Source organism: Homo sapiens, chromosome X (assembly GCF_000001405.40).
Source record: "Homo sapiens chromosome X, GRCh38.p14 Primary Assembly".
Lineage (NCBI taxonomy): Eukaryota > Metazoa > Chordata > Mammalia > Primates > Hominidae > Homo > Homo sapiens.
In genome coordinates, this window is record NC_000023.11 from 70,143,058 (window position 1) to 70,163,335 (window position 20,278).

The 20,278-nt window shown below is 42.2% G+C and overlaps 1 protein-coding gene and 1 long non-coding RNA gene across 7 annotated transcripts in view; one reads left to right on the top strand and one right to left on the bottom strand.

Moving 5' to 3' along the window:
- IGBP1 (immunoglobulin binding protein 1) overlaps window positions 1-20,278 on the top strand; it is a 32,878-nt gene that overhangs the window by 9,611 nt on the left and 2,989 nt on the right. For 3 of the 6 annotated variants that reach the window (NM_001551.3, NM_001370192.1, NM_001370193.1), the window contains exons 4-6: window positions 3,576-3,771; window positions 5,704-5,783; window positions 7,153-7,265. In NM_001551.3, coding sequence (NP_001542.1) covers window positions 3,576-3,771; window positions 5,704-5,783; window positions 7,153-7,265 — 389 coding nt within the window. Of the gene's footprint in view, window positions 1-3,575; window positions 3,772-5,703; window positions 5,784-7,152; window positions 7,266-19,288; window positions 19,408-20,278 lie in introns of all 6 variants that reach the window. The other 3 variants (NR_199784.1, NR_199785.1, NM_001370194.1) reach the window with 3 other exon arrangements.
- Window positions 10,575-19,305, bottom strand: LOC107985683 (uncharacterized). The gene is made up of 2 exons (XR_001755877.2): window positions 12,883-19,305; window positions 10,575-10,813 (listed from the first exon to the last, which is right to left on the bottom strand). It is a non-coding gene; the product is annotated as an uncharacterized LOC107985683 (long non-coding RNA).

The window sequence follows — 20,278 nt, forward strand, 5'->3', positions numbered from 1 at the left end:
GACTACAGGCGCCCACCACCAAACCCGGCTAATTTTTTGTACTTTCAGTAGAGGTGGGGTTTCACCGTGTTAGCCAGGATGGTCTCGATCTCCTGACCTTGTGATCCACCCACCTCAGCCTCCCAAAGTGCTGGGATTACAGGCGTGAGCCACTGCGCCCGGCCGAGATGGAGTTTTTCCTTGTTAGGCCGGTCTCGAACTCCCGACCTCAGGCAATCCGCCTGCCTCGGCCTCCCAAAGTGCTGGGATTACAGGCGTGAGCCACCATTCCCGGCCAGTTACAGAGATTTTATGGTGAAGAGGGAAATTGAATTCTACATTGGCTGGCCATCTGGTGAGTGTGATGGTGATAATAGTCTTCACAAAAGATGAACGAAAGGATGGCTGAGCAAGGGTGACCACTCAGCCAAAGTTTGACAATAGTGATTTGTAGTTGACCCATTTGATACAAGTTTCTAATTCCTTAACTCTCTTCAACAGCTTGGGAACAGAGAAAGGAAATGGAAGTTGCCCAGGGTCAGAAGGGTTACAAGGATAGGGGATTCTAGGGTAACAGGGAGTATTTCCATGTAATGGCCCACCATGGAGAATCCATAACAGTGATGAAGGTCTAAGACAGTAGTTTTCCATATGTTCCTTGGAGCCCTAAAATTTCACTGCAATGCCTGGGGGTTGGGGGGGCGGGTGTTGACAGCCCTCCTGATTTAACCAAGGTAAATTTTACTTGTTTATTAATTATGGGAGTTCCGTGGCATCTCTCATTAGAAGAAAAGGTTCTTTTACTAAAACAGTTTTAAAAACACTGGCCCAAATGAACAAGTGTTGAGTTAGAAGTTTAAAAGATGATGAGCAGGCTGGGCGCGGTGGCTCACGCCTGGAACGCACTTTGAGAGGCTAAGGCAGGCAGATCATCTGACGTCAGGAGTTCAAGACCAGCCTGGCCAACATGGCAAAACCCCATCTCTACTAAAAATACAAAAATTAGCTGGGTGTGGTGGTGCACACCTATAATCCCAGCTACTTGGGAGGCTGAGGCAGGAGAATCACTTGAACCCAGGAGGTGGAGGTTGCAGTGAGCTGAAATTGTGCGGCTGCACTCCAGCCTGGGTGACAGAACAAGACTCTATCTCAAAAACAAACAAACAAACAAAGATGATGAGCAAAGTCATAGAAGCTAGGAAGTAGAAGAAAAGGAAGGAGCAGAGTGCAGTAGTTAGGCCTTAAGCATGCAGAGAATGGGAAAAGAAACAAAAGAACCTTATTCAGAGGACTACTAGACTAACCCTGAATTTACCCTGAATTATATCACCCTAAGGTCCTCGTATGTTATTTTTTTCCCGTGACTTAGGTACATCCAGGAAAGAGGGTTGGGGATAGGAGTGAGATTGGAGTTAAACATTCTCAAGTAATATCTCTGATAGCATTCATGAACTAGGAATTGTAGTTCTTTGTAGTGTTTTACTCAAAAAGCTTCTTAGGATGATGATGTGTCAGTTATTCGTAACATTATAGTAAATGTCCACTTGTTAGGTAAAAGGAACAGAAGAGCCTAAACATTTTTATAATAGCCTTTTCAGAACAGTGGTTCTTGACTTTTTTTTTTTTTTTTTTTTTTTTTTTTGAGATGGAGTCTCACTCTGTTGCCAGGCTGGAATGCAGTGGCACGATCTCGGCTCACTGCAACCTCTCACTCCCTGGTTCAAGCGATTTTCCTGCCTCAGCCTCCTGAGTAGCTGGAATTACAGGCGCCTGCCACCACATCCAGCTAATTTTTGTATTTTTAGTAGAGATGGGGTTTCACCATGTTGGCCAGGGTGGTCTTGATCTCCTGACCTCATGATGCACCCACCTCAGCCTCCCAAAGTCCTGGGATTACAGGGCTGAGCCACTGTGCCCGGCCGGTTCTTGACTTTTCATGGGTCATGGACCCCTTGCCCCTTTGACAATTTGATAAAATCTATAAAAATTTCTCAGCCAAAAAAAAAAAGAAGAAAGAAAAAGAAAGCATACAGGTAGAGTTCTGTATAAAATTTGTGGGAGTTCAAGGACCACCCCCACCACACTGAACTCTCTGTGGACTTCAGCTTAAGACCCCCTGATTTGGGTGAAGACCTACTGAGGAACATCTGATTCTGGAGAGTCTAAAGTGGGATTTCAAGCAGAGATATTTCAAGATACGTCTCTTGGAAATCTTGATGTTTTTCCTTGACTTCTCTCTTTCCTTCAGGCTCTTACATCCAATAAATCAACAAATCCTATCTATTTTATATTTTAAATATACCCACATCCCACTATCTCCATCACTACCTTCCTATTTCAGGTCACCATCTCTCACTTGGATTGTGGCAGTATCCTCTTAGTTGCTTTCCCTGCTTATATCCTTGCCTCATAGCCCCCACAGCCCATACTCCACACAACAGCCAGAGTGGCCCATATTTTTAAAAGTGTTTTTATGTCACTCTATTCATGTCATGTATTCAAAAGCCTCCAGTGGCTTTCCCATTCAAAATACCATGATATTTGATATTTGGTTATTGTGACCTACCAGGTTCTACACATTATGGCCCTGGCTATGTCTGACCTCATTTTCTATCACTCTTTTTTATCTCAGCCATACTGGCCACCTTGTTATTTCTCAGCCATGTCAGGCCAGGCACGCTCCCACCTCACAGCCCTCGTATTTGCTTTTATTCCTTAGCATACTCTTCTAGATATTGGCTTAGTTATTTTCCTGAAGTCTTTGTTCACTGTCATCTCTTCAGAGAGTTCTCTTCTGACTACCTTGTATATAATAGCACCGCTACTTTTCCACCATCACTGTATGCATTTGACCTTACTTTTTGCTCTTTCATAGCACTTATCACGACCTAACTCATCTATTTCTTTTTGTCTACTCCCACTGGAATGAATGCTTCATGAGACCAAGGACTTTTATATGCTGCTGTGTCTCCAGCACTGAGAATGGTGCCTGTCACACAATAGGTACTCAGTAGACATTTGTCAGATGACATACTAGAATGCATCCTGAAAAAGAAAGGCAGCCAGGGTGGTTATGAGTCTTCAGATGATAAAAGGATGAGCCAGAAGAGCTGCGAAAGTTTTGCCCAGAAGAAAAAAAGAGTTGATCATTTTTTAGGCTGTTTCACAAGGCATTCCTGCATCAGTGGCAGGTAAATGACCCCTAAGATTCTATGATTTTTTTGAAGGTGTAGTTCCCAAAATGGAAGCATCACAGGAAGCACTGTGTTGCGATACTAAGCACCCACCCTAGTAAAGGCCAGTATAATCAAATGACTAAGGTACTCATCTTCCCTAAAGGACTTGCTGAGATCCGGTTACTTCTGTATTTTTCTGGCTTCAGAAGGTACTCCTCAGCCCCTGCTGGGCCCTAACTTGTCATCTGAGGGAACTGCCTGGTGGCTAATTCTGGGGTATAGAATCTATATCCCTGCCAAGGTGGAAATTGGTATGCTTACTACCCTATCATTTGCAAAGGTAAAATCTTATTGAGGCCTTCTTTTGAAGGAATACCTCTTCATTTGTAAGTTCATGGGTAATGCTTTTCTGTGGAACAGATACAAGCAGAAGAAGGAGTTGGAGCATAGGTTGTCTGCAATGAAATCTGCTGTGGAAAGTGGTCAAGCAGATGATGAGCGTGTTCGTGAATATTATCTTCTTCACCTTCAGAGGTGGATTGATATCAGCTTAGAAGAGATTGAGAGCATTGACCAGGAAATAAAGATCCTGAGAGAAAGAGACTCTTCAAGAGAGGTAAGCCTGGCCAGAGAAATCTACTGCCAGAGATTTGAGTATTCTACAGGAGATCAAATTAAGATCCTTTTAAGTCTCCATAAAATCACTGTTTTTATCAAGATGAGTATAGAAAGGCCGAAGGGTCACTAAGGTAGCTTTCTCTTTAATTTAATGTGTTCCCCAGTGCTTTTTAATCTGTAACACACTTGTAGTCATTTGTAATTTTGTGGTATACCATGGGGGACAGAAATGTCTCTGAAATAAAAATTGGTTTTGGTTGTGGAAAGCTGTGGCTGCTGAGGGAAGGCATAGGGAGTTAAACCTTTAAAATCTGTGCTAACTGGCCACCACGGTGGCTCATGCCTGTAATCCCAGCACTTTGGAATGCCGAGGCGGGTAGATCACTTGAGGCCCGGAGTTTGAGACCAGCCTGGCCAACATGGCGAAACCCCCTCTACTAAAAATAGCCGGGTGTGGTGGTGCGCGTCTGTGATCCCAGCTACTCGGGAGGCTGAGGCAGGAGAATTGCTTGAACCTGGGAGGCAGAGGTTGCAGTGAGCTGAGATCATGCCACTGCACTCCAGCCTGGGTGACAGAATGAGACTCCATCTCAAAAAAAAAAATTGTGCTGACTATAATGAAGGGGAAGAGAGGAAGAGGATGGGAATGGAGAAGAAAGGTAGAACTGGAGGAGAGGGAGAAAAGAGTAGGAAGAGTGAAATAAAAGACCAGGGGGATATGCTTAGGTTGGAGGAGGAATTAGAATTTAACCTTGCCACAATGATGCACTGTCACACCTTTAGATTACCCACGTAGGAGACACAGCAAGGGCATTTCCATGCACAGAATGTCCAGTAAACTGGTAAAGAAACCTGGTGTAACAGCTTTGGCTATCTTTGAACATCATAACCCTGTTTTGGAGCTGCTGCTTCAAAAGAATAGGCTCTGCTGCCACTTGTTCTTTGGTTCAGGACACAACATGAATTGGGTTGAATTTATCAGCAAGTCACAGGCATTTATTTAAGTCCTCAGAGAAACCTCTTCCTAATTTGATTTGTACTAATTAGCCCAGGAGCTCTTGCCTCAGGATAACATCAACCTAGTTCTTCATGTTAAGAGATCAAAGAATGAACAATTAATATTCTAAGGTTATAAGGCCCCTTGAGCATGTCTAGATGAGTGCTTTTCAAGCATTTTGAGGCTGGACTTTTCTGGGTCCTGCCCTGTCCCTTTCTTTGTGTGTGAGTTTTTTGTTTTTTCTTGTTCATTTGTTTGTTTGTTGTAATCGTTGTGTTGTTGTTGTTTTAATGTGCTTTCATGTGGTATTGGAATTGGTTCTGAAAGTGATCGAGCTAGAACTAAGTGAGCACCTTTTCTTTAACCATCCTTTGTTTCAGCATGCCCCTAGAAAGCCAAGGTTCCTTGAAACTTTTCTATATACGTCTATATGGAAACTACTAACCAATCCTTCTCCCTTTCCTTTGGGAACATTGACTTCTAAAGCACCGTAGAAGTTCTTGACAATTAAGTGCATAAGTACATTGGAAGAGGTTTTAGAAGGGTCGTAGTGATTCAACTTTTTAACTGAAGGCCAGGCTGAAGAAAGGGGCTTCAAGTTCAGCTCAAGGGATTTAGATGGAACATGGAAGAGGGCTTTGGAATCTCCTTCTTTGGACAGGGTATTTTAAAGCCGAGTAATTTTTTACTTCTAGTGACATGATTCCTGGGAGAACTTTCTCTTTCTTTCTTTTTTGCAAGGTACTCAGGCCCCCTCAGGAGAGCTAAGGAATCTCTACCGTTAGTGTTCTGCTGCTATATCTTAGAGACTGATAAATAGAAAGTGAGTGAATTTTGAATCCAGAGCTTTTCAAGCACCTGAAGACTTAAGAGCCCGTATGGTATGTTGGGTAAAATGGCAAATTCACCTCTCATAATTAATTTCCTTCTTAGGCATCAACTTCTAACTCATCTCGCCAGGAGAGGCCTCCAGTGAAACCCTTCATTCTCACTCGGAACATGGCTCAAGCCAAGTAGGTAGTACTAGAAAGTTTGCTTTGCAGCCCTCTGCTTTTATGGTTCAATGTGGCAATTCATTAGTGACCCACAGACTGAGTGGTGTTGAAAAGTCATGATCTTGGGTGGGCGAGGTGGCTCGTGCCTGTAATCCCAGCACTTTGGGAGGCTGAGGTGGGTGGATCACCTGAGGTCGGGAGTTCGAGACCAGCCTGACCAACATGGAGAAACCCTGTCTCTACTAAAAATACAAAATTAGCCGGACATGATGGCACATGCCTGTAATCCCGGCTACTGGGGAGGCTGAGGCAGGAGAATCACTTGAACCTGGGAGGGGGAGGTTGTGGTGAGCCGAGATCGCGCCATTGCACTCCAGCCTGGGCAACAAGAGCGAGACTCCGTCTCAAAAAAAAAAAAAAAAAGTCATGATCTCACTTACGGAAGTTGTTCTTTTATCTAAGGGATATTATCTTTCCTGAAACTTTCTCCATGTCTGTGTTCCTCAGACACTTCCTTCACAAACTCAAGCTTAAAAATAGGCACACATGGGCCAGGCGTGGTGGCTCACGCCTGTAATCCCAGCCCTTTGGGAGGTCGAGGCAGGTGGATCACCTGAGGTCAGGAGTTCGAGACCAGCCTGACCAACATGGCAAAACCCCGTCTCTACTAAAAGTAGGAAAATAAGCCAGGCGTATTGGCAGGCACCTGTAATCCCAGCTACTCGGGAGGCTGAGGCAGGAGAATTGCATGAACCCAGGAGGTGGAGGTTACAATGAGCTGAGATCACCCCACTACCCTCCAGCCTGGTCGACAGAGCAAGACTCCATCTCAAAAAAAAAAAAAAAAAGCACACATGTAAACAAGCAAATAAAACAAAAAAGGAAAATAATTGAATGGAGAATTGTATACTTTAAAGTTTTTTTTTATTATTACATTATTGGCACTCTTCCTGCCTTCAGCTACGATTCTCAAAAGGACATATTTGCCTCCCTATGATTTAATTCTGAGTTCTTGAGATATGTTTCCCTAGGGTGGCGGGAGTCTCCTTGTTTTCTGTACCTTTCAGAGTCACCAACTATAAATACCCATTCCACGGTGTCTTCACTGCTTTGTGGAGCATTGCCCTCTGGGATTGCTTAATGGGAGATGATCCTGGGCTATTTATCTTCTCATGAAAGCTCTTGACTTTAATGCCCCTTTCTGGATGCCCCTTTTTACATATCCTCCCATGAGTTTGTACAACTCCTCAGAAGTTGACTGGGTAGGGAACAAGGCTGAAACGGACACAGACTTTGTTGTTAGAGAGACTTTTTGTAGTACTGGGTTTTTTTTGTTATTTTTGTTTTTTTGTTTTTTTGTTTTCTAAATGCAGCGTAATTTTTGCAGAGTATTTGGAGCTGGTTATCCAAGTCTGCCAACTATGACGGTGAGTGACTGGTATGAGCAACATCGGAAATATGGAGCATTACCGGATCAGGGAATAGCCAAGGCAGCACCAGGTATGACGGGGTAGGAGGGAAATAGTTGTACCACTGGTCTTTTACTCCCTGGCAATTAAGTTCTTACCAAGTATAGTTGCCCTTTAGGAACAGAAATAGTGGGGACAAAGATTCTGAGTAATAGAAAGATTCTAGACAGTACTATGTTTATTATTAAATAGCAAATGGTTATGGGAGGATGGGGTCAGTGATAGCATAGTTTGTAAATCTCTCCAAATGTCATGACATAAAAACAGAGCAGCTGTGTAGAAAACTCAATCTATGGATAGCAGTTCCGCATCTGGTAATGGCAGAGTAGGTTGTATCAGGCCAGCCCCTCATACAGGATAACAATTACAAACTGAACAAAATATTTTAAAAACCAACTACCTGAAGGTACTGGCAAGTCACCAAAAGCAGGTGTAAGCTGAAGGGCAGTCAACACTTAGAAGGAGGAAATGATACTTGGAATTCATTGAGGGCAGGGACTTTGACTTACTGTACCTTTAGTGCCCAACTTGGTAATTGGATCATAGTGGGTACTTGGAATTGTCTTTGGAAGGGGAAGATGAAGAGGGTGGCCACCAAAAAGGTGGAAGCAATAGGGTATAACCGAAAAAGTATGGACAGACCTGGGTGAACAGTCCAACTCCTGTCACTTTTTTTTTTTTTTTTTGAGACGAAGTCTCGCTCTTGCCCTCCAGGCTGGAGTGCAATGGCGCGATCTTGGCTCACTGCAACCTATGCCTCCCGGGTTCAAGCAGTTCTCCTGCCTCAGCCTCCCGAGTAGCTGGGAATACAGGCGCCTGCCACCACGCCTGGCTAATTTTTGTATTTTTAGTAGAGATGGGGTTTCACCATGTTGGCCAGGCTGGTCTCGAACTCCTGACCTCAGGTGATCGGCCCACCTCGGCCTCCCAAAGTGCTGGGATTACAGGCGTGAACCACCGCGCCTGGCCCTCCTATCACTTAATAGATGGAATATCTTAGTCCCTCTGAGCTTCAGTTTCCTTATCTCATATATTATCCCATTTGATCCTTTTCAAAAAGGAAAAATAGAGACAGGGTCTCACTGTGTTTTCCAAGCTGGTCTCAAACTCCTGGGCTCAAGCAATCCTTCTGCCTCAGCCTCCCAAAGCATTGGGATTACAGGCATCAGCCACCGCGCTCAGCTTCATTTGATCCTCTTAACAACTTCATGAAGCAGACATTCTTATTCTCATTTCAAGATGAGAAAGTGCTCTGGGACAAATAGGTGAAAACAAAAAGAAAAAAAATAAAAATAAATAAGATGCGCTAGGCACAGTGGCTCACACCTGTAGTCCCAGCACTTTGGGAGGCCGAGGCAGGCGGATTGCTTGAGCTCAGGAATTCGAGACCAGCCTGAGCAATATGGCGAAACCCCGTCGCTACCAAAAATACAAAAACCAGCCGAGCGTAGTGGTATGCACCTGTAGTCCCATCTTCTCGGGAGGCTGAGGTGGTAGGATCATGTGAGCCTGGGAGGCAGAAGTTGTAGTGAGCCAAGATCACGCCACTGCACTCCAGCCTGGGTGACAGAGTGAGACCCTGTCTCAAATAAATAAATAAAATGAGGAAGTAGTCACTGGGAGCTGACTTAAAGTGGCCTGGCTAGGATTTAAAATCAGACCTTCAAATTCCCAGGTTCAGTTCTGTTTCTACTATAGCACCAAAAAGAGAAGAGTGGTAATTTGAAAGGATTAGCTTTTCACCTGTGGGCAGACTGCAGTTACTATGATGTAACTGCATGTAACTTGGATAGGAACTTGCAGTCTTACTGTTTGAGGAATGAGAGAACTGAGATCAGGGTGAATAGCAACTGAAAAATGAAGGAGGTTATCCCAGAAAAGAGAGAACCACAGAGAAGATGCCCTGATTCTGTATATAAACCCTACTGAAATCTCTGGCTGACTATGCATGCACAGAATGGACTCTTAAGCACCTCAACTAAGGCTAAAATAACTGAATGGAGAATTCAGCTGTTGCCCAATGCAAGGGAGATAGAATTTGGTATTTTGGTTTTAGACGAGTTAATTGCCTGCTAAAATGAAAAATCAGTACTCTTTAGAGGAATGAAACAGAATTCGGAATCTCTACAATATATCATTTGTCACGTTTAGAATTCAATCCTAAGCTATTAGACATGAAAAAAAACAAACAGGAAAATGTGACTCATAACTCAAAAGAAAAGGCAATCAATGGATACCAACCCCAAGATAACTCAGATGTTGGAATTAGCAGACAGGGACTTTAAAGCAGCTATTATTTTTATCCTCAAGGGCAGAGAGCAAAATATGTTTGTAATTAATGAAAAGATAAGAAATCTCAGCAGAGAAATAGAAACTATACACACAAATTCTGGAATGGAAAAATACAATATCTGAAAATGTAAAGTCACTGGATGAGCTTAATACCAGATTGTTGCTGACAGAAGAGCCTGTCGGTTAACTTGAAGATCAATAGAAATTATCCAATTTGAAAAAAAAGATTGGATAAAAGTAAGCAGTATCTCAGTGGCCTGCGGAATTATGTACAAAGGTCTCATGTATGCGCAATTGGAATGCCAGTACCAGAGGAGAAAGAAGGGAACAGAAAAACTTGAAGAAATGATGACTAAAGATTTCCCAAGATTCAGAAATGTCAGCAAACCCCAACAGTTTAAATACAAACAAAATCACACATAGGCACATTATAGTCAAACTGCAGAACACCAGAGAGAAAGAGGAAATTTTGAAATCATCCAAAGATAAAGTACACATTACACATAGGAGAACAAGGATATACATTATTGCTGAATTTCCATTAAAAACTGTGGGCGCCAGAGATGGTGGAACAGCTTCAAAGTGGTGGGGGGAGGAACCTGTCAACGTATAATTTTATACCCAGTGAAAAATATCCATAAAATGAAGATGAAATTAAGACATTTTCAGATAAATGAGAGCTAAAAGAATTCTTCACCAGAAAATTGGCATTAGAGAAATGCTGAAGGAAATTCCTCAGGCTGAGGGGAATGGTATCAGATAGAAATGTAAATACTCAAGTAGTGAAGAGCAGCAGAAATGGTAATTATGTGGGTAAATACAAAGGACTGTCTTCCTCAACCCAGTTTTTAAAAACTATACGTAGCTTCTCAAAGCAAAAATTACAATATTGACTTGTGAGGTTTATAATGTATTAGGTGTAATATATGTGACAGCCATCGCAAAAAGGACAGGGTAAATGGAACTATTTTGTTTGTGAGATTCTCCTGTTTTATGTGAACCGATACATGTCTATTGCTGTATAACAAATTACTCTAAAACTTAGCAATTTAAAATAATCAGCATTTATTGTATCATAGTTTCTGAGGGTGAGGAATTCAGAAGCAACTGGGTGGTCCTAGCTCAGAAACATTCATGAGGTTGCAGTCAAGCTGTCAGCTGGGGCTGCAGTCTTCTGGAAGCTTGGATGGGACTAGATAATTCACTGCCAAGCTCATCGATGTAGCTGAGGACAGGAGGCTCACATAGGGTTGCTCACAACAGCTTCCGCTCCCCAAAGTGAATGATCTGAGAATGACCAAAATCAAAAGGCTCAATATCTTTTATAACCTAATGTTGGAATATGACTTCTGCCCTATTCTATTAGTCATATAGACCAACCCTGATAGAGTATGAGAGGAGACTCCATAAAAGCATGAATACCAAGAGGCTGGGATTGTTGTGCACCATCCTTGAGGCCCCCCATCACATAATTTTTTTTTTTTTTTTTTTTGAGACGGAGTCTTGCTCTGTCGCCCAGGCTGGAGGGCAGTGGCGCGATCTCGGCTCACTGCAAGCTCCGCCTCCCGGGTTCACGCCATTCACGCCATTCTCCTGCCCCAGCCTCCTGAGTAGCTGGGACTACAGGCGCCCGCCATCACACCCGGCTAATTTTTTTTTTTTGTATTTTTAGTAGAGATGAGGTTTCATTGTGTTAGCCAGGATAGTCTCGATCTCCTGACCTTGTGATCCGCCCGCCTCGGCCTCCCAAAGTGCTGGGATTACAGGTGTGAGCCACTGCGCCTGGCCCCCATCACATAATTTTAACTCTTAAGTAGGCTGGGAAGTTAAAGATGAACATTGTATTTCCTAGAGCAGCCACTTAAAAAATAATTTATCAAGAGAATGAGAAAACAAGCCACAACCTGGGAGAAGATACTTGCAAAAGACTTATCTGATGAAGGACTTTGTATATTTTACCCAAAATATACAAAGAACTCTTAAAACCCAACAATAAGAAAAGGAGCAGTTTTAGGCCAGGTGTGGTGGCTCACACCGGTAATCCCAATACTTTGGGAGGCCAAAGTGGGAGGATCCCTTGAGCCGAGGAGTTCAAGATCAGCTTGAGCAACATGGTAAGACCCCTCTCCACAAAAAAAAAAAAAAAAAAAAAAGTTTTAAAAAACTAGCCAAGTGTGATGGTTCGTGCCTGTAGTCCCAGATACTCAGGAGGCTGAGGTGGGAGGATTGCTTGAGCCTGTGAGGTCGAGGCTGCAGTGAGCTATTATCGTGCCCCTGCACTCCAGCCTGCGTGATAGAGCAAGACCGTGTCTCAAAAAAAAAAGGGAGCAGCCTGATTAAGAAGTGGGCCAAAAACCTTAACAGATAACCTCACCAAAGAAAGTATACAGATGACAGATAAGCATGTGACAAGATACTCTACATCATGTCATTAGGGCAATGCAAATTAAACAACACTGAGATACCACTATACACCTGATAGAATGGCCAAATCCAGAGCACCTCAAATGTAAATAGAATAAACCTTCGAATTAGAAGTCAGGGATCGATTATCAGGTCTAGCTGCATGCTGTCTATAAAAGATACATTTTAAATACAAAGACACAGATTGGTTACAAATAAAAAGAAGAAAAGATATATAGGTGGCTCACGCCTGTAATCCCAACACTTTGGGAGGCCAAGGCAGGCGGATCATGAGGTCAGGAGTTCAAGACCAGCATGACCAACATGGTGAAACCCCATCTATACTAAAAATAGAAAAATTAGCCGGGTGTGGTGGCACACGCCTGTAATCCCAGCTACTCAGGAGGCTGAGGCAGGAGAATCGCTTGAACCCAGGAGGCTGAGGTTGCAGTGAGCCGAGACCACACCACTGCACTCCAGCCTGGGTGACAGAGTGAGACTCTGTCTCAAAAAAAAAAAAAAAAAAAAAGATATATAGGTTGAGCATCCTAAATCTGAAAATGAAAAACCTGAAATGCTCCAAAATCCGAAACTTCTTAAGGCTAATGTGATGCTTAAAGGAAATGCTCACTGAAGCATTTTGGATTTTCAGATTTGGGATGCTCAACCAGATATGATGCAGATATTCCAAAATAAAAAACAAATCTGAAATACTTCTGGTCCCATGCATTTCAGATAAGGGATACTCAACCTCTACCATGCTAACAGTAAGCATAAGAAAGCTGCAGTAGCTATAGTAATATCAGATAAAGTAGATTTCAAGACAAAAAGGTATTATCAGAGATTTTAAAAGGGCATTTCCTACTGATAAAGTGGCAATTTATCAGGGAGACATAGCAGTCATAAATGCATTTGTGCCTAATAATTTTCAAATTATTTACTTGAATACTTACAGGCTACTGTAGGGTTATTCATTGGCCCAATTTCAATATTGTTGTGTCTCAAGGAACAGAGAGGCCTGGAGCAGGGTTGGGACAGCCAGTCAGTGGAGCAGTCAGAACATAACACATTTACCCATTAAGTTCTCTGTCTTCTGTGGGCATGGTTTGTGGTGCCCCAGAACAATTACACTGGTAATACCAAAGACCACAGATCACCATAACAAATGAAATAATGAAAAAGTTTGAGAAACTGAGAATTACCAAAATGTGGCACAGTGACACAAAGTGAGCAAATGCTCTTAGAAAAAGGGCACCAATAGACTTGCTCGCTGCAGGGTTGCCACAAACCTTCAATTTGTTAAAAAAAAAAAAAAAAAAAAAAGTCTCTGCAAAGCACAATAGAGTGAAGCACAATAAAACGAGGTATGCCTTCACCTTCTTTTCAGATACCCATGGAACATTCACCAAGGTAGATCATATACTGGTCCATGAAATAAGTCTCAATAAATTTTCAAAAATTGAAATCACACTGAATATGTCCTCAGACCACAATGGAATTAAATTAGAAATCAATAATGTACCTAGAAAATTCTCAAATATTTGAAAATTAAACAGTACACTTCTAAATAACCTATAGGTCTAAGAAGAAATTAGAAAGAAAATTAGAAAATACTTCTAACTGGGAATAAGTTCAAGAGATCTGTTATACAGCATGGTGACTATCGTTAATGGCTGGGTGCGGTGGCTCACGCCTGTAATCCTAGCACTTTGGGAGGCCGAGGCGGGTGGATCACCTGAGGTTGGGAGTTCAAGACTAACCTGGCCAACATGGTGAAACCTCGTCTCTAATAAAAATAGAAAAATTAGCCGGGCGTGGTGGCGGGCGCCTGTAATCCCAGCTATTCGGGAGGCCGAGGCAGGAGAATCGGTTGAGTCTGGGAGGCAGAGGTTGCAGTGAGTCAAGATCACACCATTGCACTCCAGCCTGGGCAACAGAGCAAAACTCCATCTCAAAAAAAATGAAAATAAAATACAGAGTAGATGTTAAGTGTTCTTACTGCAAAAATAACAATGTGTAAGGTACTGCATCTTTTAATTAGCTAGATTTAGCTATCCCATAATATATACTTCAAAACATACTGTACACAATAAATATGTTTGCCCATTTAAAAATAAATAAAAGAGAATACTTTGAACAGAATTACAGTGAAAGTACAGCATCAGAATTTATGGGATACAACTCGAGCAATGCTGAGATGGAAATGTGTGTAACTTTCAACACTTATGTTAGAAAAAAGGAAGATAAAATCAATTACCTAAGGTTTTACCTTAACAAGGGTGGGGGTGGGGGCATAGGGAACAAAGAAAGCCCAAAGTAAATAGATGAAAGGAAATAAAGGCAGGGAAACTAGGGGTGGTCATGGTTCTGGTAGTAATGCACAAAAATTGGACACGTGTATACTCCCATGACCTGGCAGTTTCACTACTCGGTATATACCTAAGAGGAGTGAGACCATATGTCCACAAAAGACCTGTACAAGATTGAACATAGCAGCATTATTTGTAATAGTCCACACTGAATACACACCACTCAAATGCCCATAAATAATAGAATGAAGAATAAATTTTGGTATATTCACACAATGGAAAACTATGTAGCAATAAGGTTAAACTATAGTTTGTTTGCTATAAGTGACAAATATAGCTGAATCGTGTGAAAAAAGCCAGACGCAAAAGAGTATATACTGTATGATTCCATTCATACAAACTTCAACAAACAGGTGATACTTGTGTGTGCTGGTTGAAAGCTAGTAAGTGTTCACCCTTAGTTGGGGATCATGAATGGAACTGGACCTACAGGGTCTTCTGAGGAGTTAGAAATATTTTGTATCTTCATCTGGGTACTGATTACATGGATGTGTTCAATATGTGAGAGGTCACTGAGCTATACAAATGTTAGTATACTTTTCTACACGTATGTTGCACTTCAGTGAATGTGAAAAAACCCATGGACAATATTTATAATGAAAATAGGTGGCAGTGTATCCCCATGAACCTCACAATAAAAACAGGTAAGGGCAAATTACCCATAGCCACAAGATCCAGCAGTTATTGGCATCTGTGCAGGAGAAAACCAGAGTTGACAGGCCATCTGAAAAACTTGACAAACAGAATTCCAAAACAGTGTATTCCCTAGAAAGAATGGCAGTCCAATTTAAGAACTGCAGTTGAAACTGGGAGGGATGAGTATGAGGGTCCAATAGTCAGAAGGTCTGAAAGCGATAGAGTAGTCTAGTCCTTAGTGAACTCTTGAAGTTGATCCACCGGTCTCCCTTCCAGGACAGGGACTCACACTGAGGAGAAATTGCTGAGAGTAGAATTGAAATTAAGCAGGACAGGAATAGAAAAAGAAAGAAAAGGTCCAGATGAAATTAGGAGAGAGGACCAGAACCAGGAACTCCAATCAAGCAAGTAATCATATTTCTTTAATTCACATGAAAACAGCAGAAAGGGAGCCCTTATGAAGTTAGAAAAGCTACTCTGAACCATGCTTCTTTCTACAAGTTTAGGAAAACATTTCACGTAAAAATGAACAACAGATTGTGGTGATGGTTGCACAACTCTGAATATAAAACACTGAACTGTTGGCTCACACCTGTAATCCCAGCACTTTGGGAGGCGGATCACAAGGTCAGGAGTTTGAGACCAGCCTGGCCAAGATGGTGAAACCCCGTCTCTACTAAAAATACAAAAAAAAAAGAAAAATTAGCCGGGCATGGTGGTACGTGCCTGTAGTCCCAGCTACTTGGGAGGCTGAGGCAGGAGAATTGGCTTGAACCTGGGAGGCAGAGGTTGCAGTGAGTCGAGATCGTGCCACTGCACTCCAGCCTGGCAACAGAGTGAGACTTTGTCTCAAAAAATAAAAAAACAAAAAGAAACACTGAAATGTATACTTTTAAGTGGGTAGATTTTATGGATTGTGAAATACAGCACAAAGCTGAGAAAAAGGGAACAGAAAATTATCAAAGTCAAACCCTACACAAAGTTATTAGAAGAGAAAAACACTACAGAAAGACACGCTCAAAAAAACAGAACAAATCTGAAACATGGTATCCAAAAAAGAGTTGGAAGATATTCAGAAAATAACATAGGACATGGAAGGACAATATAAAGCAGGATTAGAAAAACTCAGAAATATGACAGCTTGGGGAACATGAATCATTTCAGAAATATAGGCTAAAGTAGAAGGAAACAAGAATGAGTGAACACAACAGAAAATGCCTTACTATGGTAAAAGGAAGGAAAATTTTAAAACGAAAAAAGATAAACAGGGTTTGAGGAAAAGTGACATATACTAAAGATAGTAAAGAAGACCTGGCATATAGATAATAGGATTATCTGAAGAAGAAAGCCAAAGCAAGGAAAAAGAATAAATGCTAAAAGTTAATATTAAGGAAAGTTTCTTGGGATTAAAAAAGTTGCGCGGGGGGAATCTCTTGGTGTTGGGTGTGACGCGACCCACAGGCAGCCACAGCAGTGCTGTGTTCCAAGGCACGGGTGCTCAGGGTGGCTGTGGAGCTTGGTCCTGGGTCCAGTGTCTTCTTGAACTGCTGCGGGACCTGTGACATGGGTGCAGGTTCAGTCTCAGGCACAGGTGGATGCTGCTCTCCCACCAAGGCAAGGACTATGACTCTGAGGCACTTCTCAGTAGCTCGGGCCCAGGGGCAGGGACGTAGCTGTGATTCCTAACCTGGGGGTCAGGGCATAGTACTGGCATGGCTCTGGGGAGGGAGGGGTGTTCCAGACGCTCAGACCCCAGGGAGCAGGGCACAGTGGCAATTCAGGCACCAGGAAAGAAGATGCTGTATAGTGGTGACTCTGGACCCTGGAAGCTCTATGAGGCCGGGTGCAGTGGCAACACAGCCCCAGGAATGGTAGGGCATAGCTGTGGCTTGGGCTCCAGGGGGTGGGATGCAGTGCAATGTTGGCTTTGCTCCCCAGGAAGGTGGGACACCTCAGTGGCTCAGACCCCGGAGGGCTGGTCCAGATCCAGGGAGGTGGGGGTGCTATTGCCGTTTGGCCCAGAGAGCAGTGTGTACAGATTAGCCAAGGCTGTGTTTCCCTGGGGGGTCCAGGGACCTGGTGCCATGCAGGCTAAGGCACCAGGGTCCCAGCTGCCCCCCTGGGCCAAAGCTCCAGTTCCCTGGGGCTGAGACACTGCACCAAAGAGGCACAACTGCTGCCCGGCACCAGGCCCAGCTTCTCCATGGGGCCTAAGCTCCTGGTCCTGGAGGGCTCGAGCGCCACGGTCACTTGATAGGAAAAATCACACCATGTTCCTGGGAAAGGACCCAGAATGACCAACAAGACATAGTCTAATAAAATTTCCGAACTTTAAAGAAAAAAAAGCCACAGACATCTCAGTAAAAATAGTAAGTGATTTATAAAGGAAAGCAACTTAGGTTACCCTCAGATTTTTTGAGATCTATACTTTATGCCAGAAGAAAGAAGAAAATGGAATAGCAGGTATTTAAGAAACTCAGAGGGAAAAAAATGTGAGCCAAGGAACATTATACCTGGTAAAACTGACTTTCAAGTATAAAGAGTACAGATATTTATCAACATGCAGGAATTCAAGAAATATTGTTCCACCATCCCATGAATTTGCTAGAGAATGAGCTTCAGACAGCCAAAGTGTTGAGAGACATTGAAATAAGGACAGGTAGCAAGCGTTAAATGTACAGTTACTTGTAGAATTAAGATGAAATGAGGATTAAAAGGGAGATAGAGTATGTAATGCCTATGTGCCCAGATAATGTAGATAACTTTTTAAAAATGGAGAAATGGGGAAATCATGCAAAATTTTAACAGTTCTCAGTAATTATATTGGTGGAGTGTCAAAGTTAGTGTTATTATTCCAAGACTATGTATAATGTGAGATAATATAAATGAGCAGTTATTAGATAATCTAATTCTATCATCCTCTGTCTTTGAGAACTAGGACTTTTAATGTGAAAGAATACAGATGTAATTCCAAAGAATTTAGATTTTTTTTAAACCCTGTAGTACTCCATATGAACTCATGAGAAATTTTATTTAAAACTAAACACACACACACACCCACCCCTGCTTTTGCTCTATTCACTGAAAAGGCTTAGAAACAAGGACCAGCCCAGTAGCAATGAGTATACCTAGTAACTCCAATTGTGATACAGAAATATTCTTCCCAATATTCTTTCTTTTAAGAAATCAGGGTGTCTTAGAGAAATAACTGACTACAATTCTGGGGCAGGAAATATACAAATAAGCTTGGAACATCTTGTCATAAAAGATAGGGAAGGAGCTTTCAAAGACTACTGGGGTCATATCGAGCCAATTTAAAGATGTTTCCACTGGCCAATTCGGTTTCACAGAGGATAATTGACAGTAGCAACAAGTCCATCCAACACCCAAATCTTGGTTTCTAATACCATCCTCTAATAAATGAACCAGGGCTCCTTGGAGAAATAGCTGATTCTAGGGCTGAGGCAGGGAATATACAAGATGAACCTGGAGCATCTCGTAGTCAGATGATAGTCAACGTATGATGGGGTTATATCCTGGTAAAGCCATTCTAAGTTGAAAATATTGTTAAGTTGATAATGCATTTGCTATACCCAACCTACCCAACATCACAGCTTAGCCTAACCTACCTTCGACCTGCTCAGAACACTTACGTTAGTCCACAGTTGGGCAAAATCATCTAACACAAAGCCTATTTTATACTAAAATATTGAATATCTCAAAATATGAGGTATGGCTTTTACTGTATGCATGTCACTTTCACACCATCATAAACTTGAAAAATCTTAACTCAGGGCTCTCTGTACTAGAAAACAAGAGCTCAAAAAACTGTTGGGGTGTTAAAGGAACACAAGAGCCAGCTGCACCCTCACAGCCCAAAACTGGGAGAACTTGGGCAGGAAAGTAAATTTAACAGTATTGGATTATCACACTAGGAATAAAATGAATACACACAAGTCCATTGTGATAGAAATAAGTGGTTGAATAAGTAAATAAATGAGGGAGAAGAGATAAATCTCCCCTACAGAAAAATTTCAATTAATTTTATGTAGATACTCCTGCTTCAAGGAGGTGTAGCATGACTGTGTACCCCGAAAGTGTGGGCTGTGCTTAGTGACTTGCTTCCAGAGACTGCAATGTGGAAGGAGACAGGAGAAGTAACTTTAGTTGGAAACCTACAAATACCACTTTGGTCAGGTCATCGAGGTTATTATCAGTGTGAAGTCAGGTTGATAGCATATATAGTATTGTCCTCCAAAACCCATAACCCTAGTCTAATTCTGTAAAAAATAGGCAACCCAAACTGAGGGACATTCTACAAAATACCTGACAAGTACTCTTCAAAACTGTCCAGGTCATCAGAATGAAGGAAAGTCTGAGAAAGAGTTACATCCTAGAGGAGACTAAAGAAACAGACAACAAAATGTACTGTGGTGACCTGGATAGGATCCTGGAACGGAAAAGGGACATTAGGTAAAACCTAAGGACATTTGAGTAATGTATGCACTTTAGTTGTTAATAATATATTAGTATTGGTTCATTAGTTGTATCACAGAAACTGTATTAATGTAAGAGGTTGATGATAAGAAACTGGGTGTGGTTATGTAGGAACTCAGTACTATTTTCTCAATTTTTCTGTAAATTGAAAACTTCTAAAATTAAGAAGTTGATTTAAATAGTTTTTTAAAACAATAATTGTGGGCCGGGCGCGGTGGCTCACGCCTGTAATTCCAGCACTTTGGGAGGCTTAGGTGGGTGGATCACTTGAGGTCAGAAGTTCAAGACCAGCCTGGCCAATGTGATAAAACCCCATCTCTACTAAAAATGCAAAAAGTAGCCAGGCGTGGTGGCACATGCCTGTAATGCCAGCCACTCGGGAGGATGAGACAGGAGAATCGCTTGAGCCCAGGAGGCGGAGGTTGCAGTGAGCCAAGATCACACCACTGCACTCCAGCCTGGGTGACAGAGCAAGACTCCTTTGTCTCAAAAATAATAATAATAGTTGCAACTGGCTGAAACTCACCAGATATGTTTAAATCTCTAAGTTCATAATTATATATATATATTTTTATTTTTTTAGAGGTGGGTCTCACACTCTGAGCCCAGGCCAGGCTCAAGCAATCCTCCTGCCTCAGCCTCTCGAGTGAGTAGGACTACAGCCATGCACTACCATGCCTGGCAGATTTTAAAAGTTTTTTTCTTTTTTATAATTTTTTGAGCCAATATAAGTGTCATAAATATTTTTTTTGTAGACACAGGGTCTCGCCATCTTGCCCAGGATGATCTCGAACTCCTGGGTTCAAGCAGTCCTCCCACCTCAGCCTCTCAAAGTGCTGTGATTACA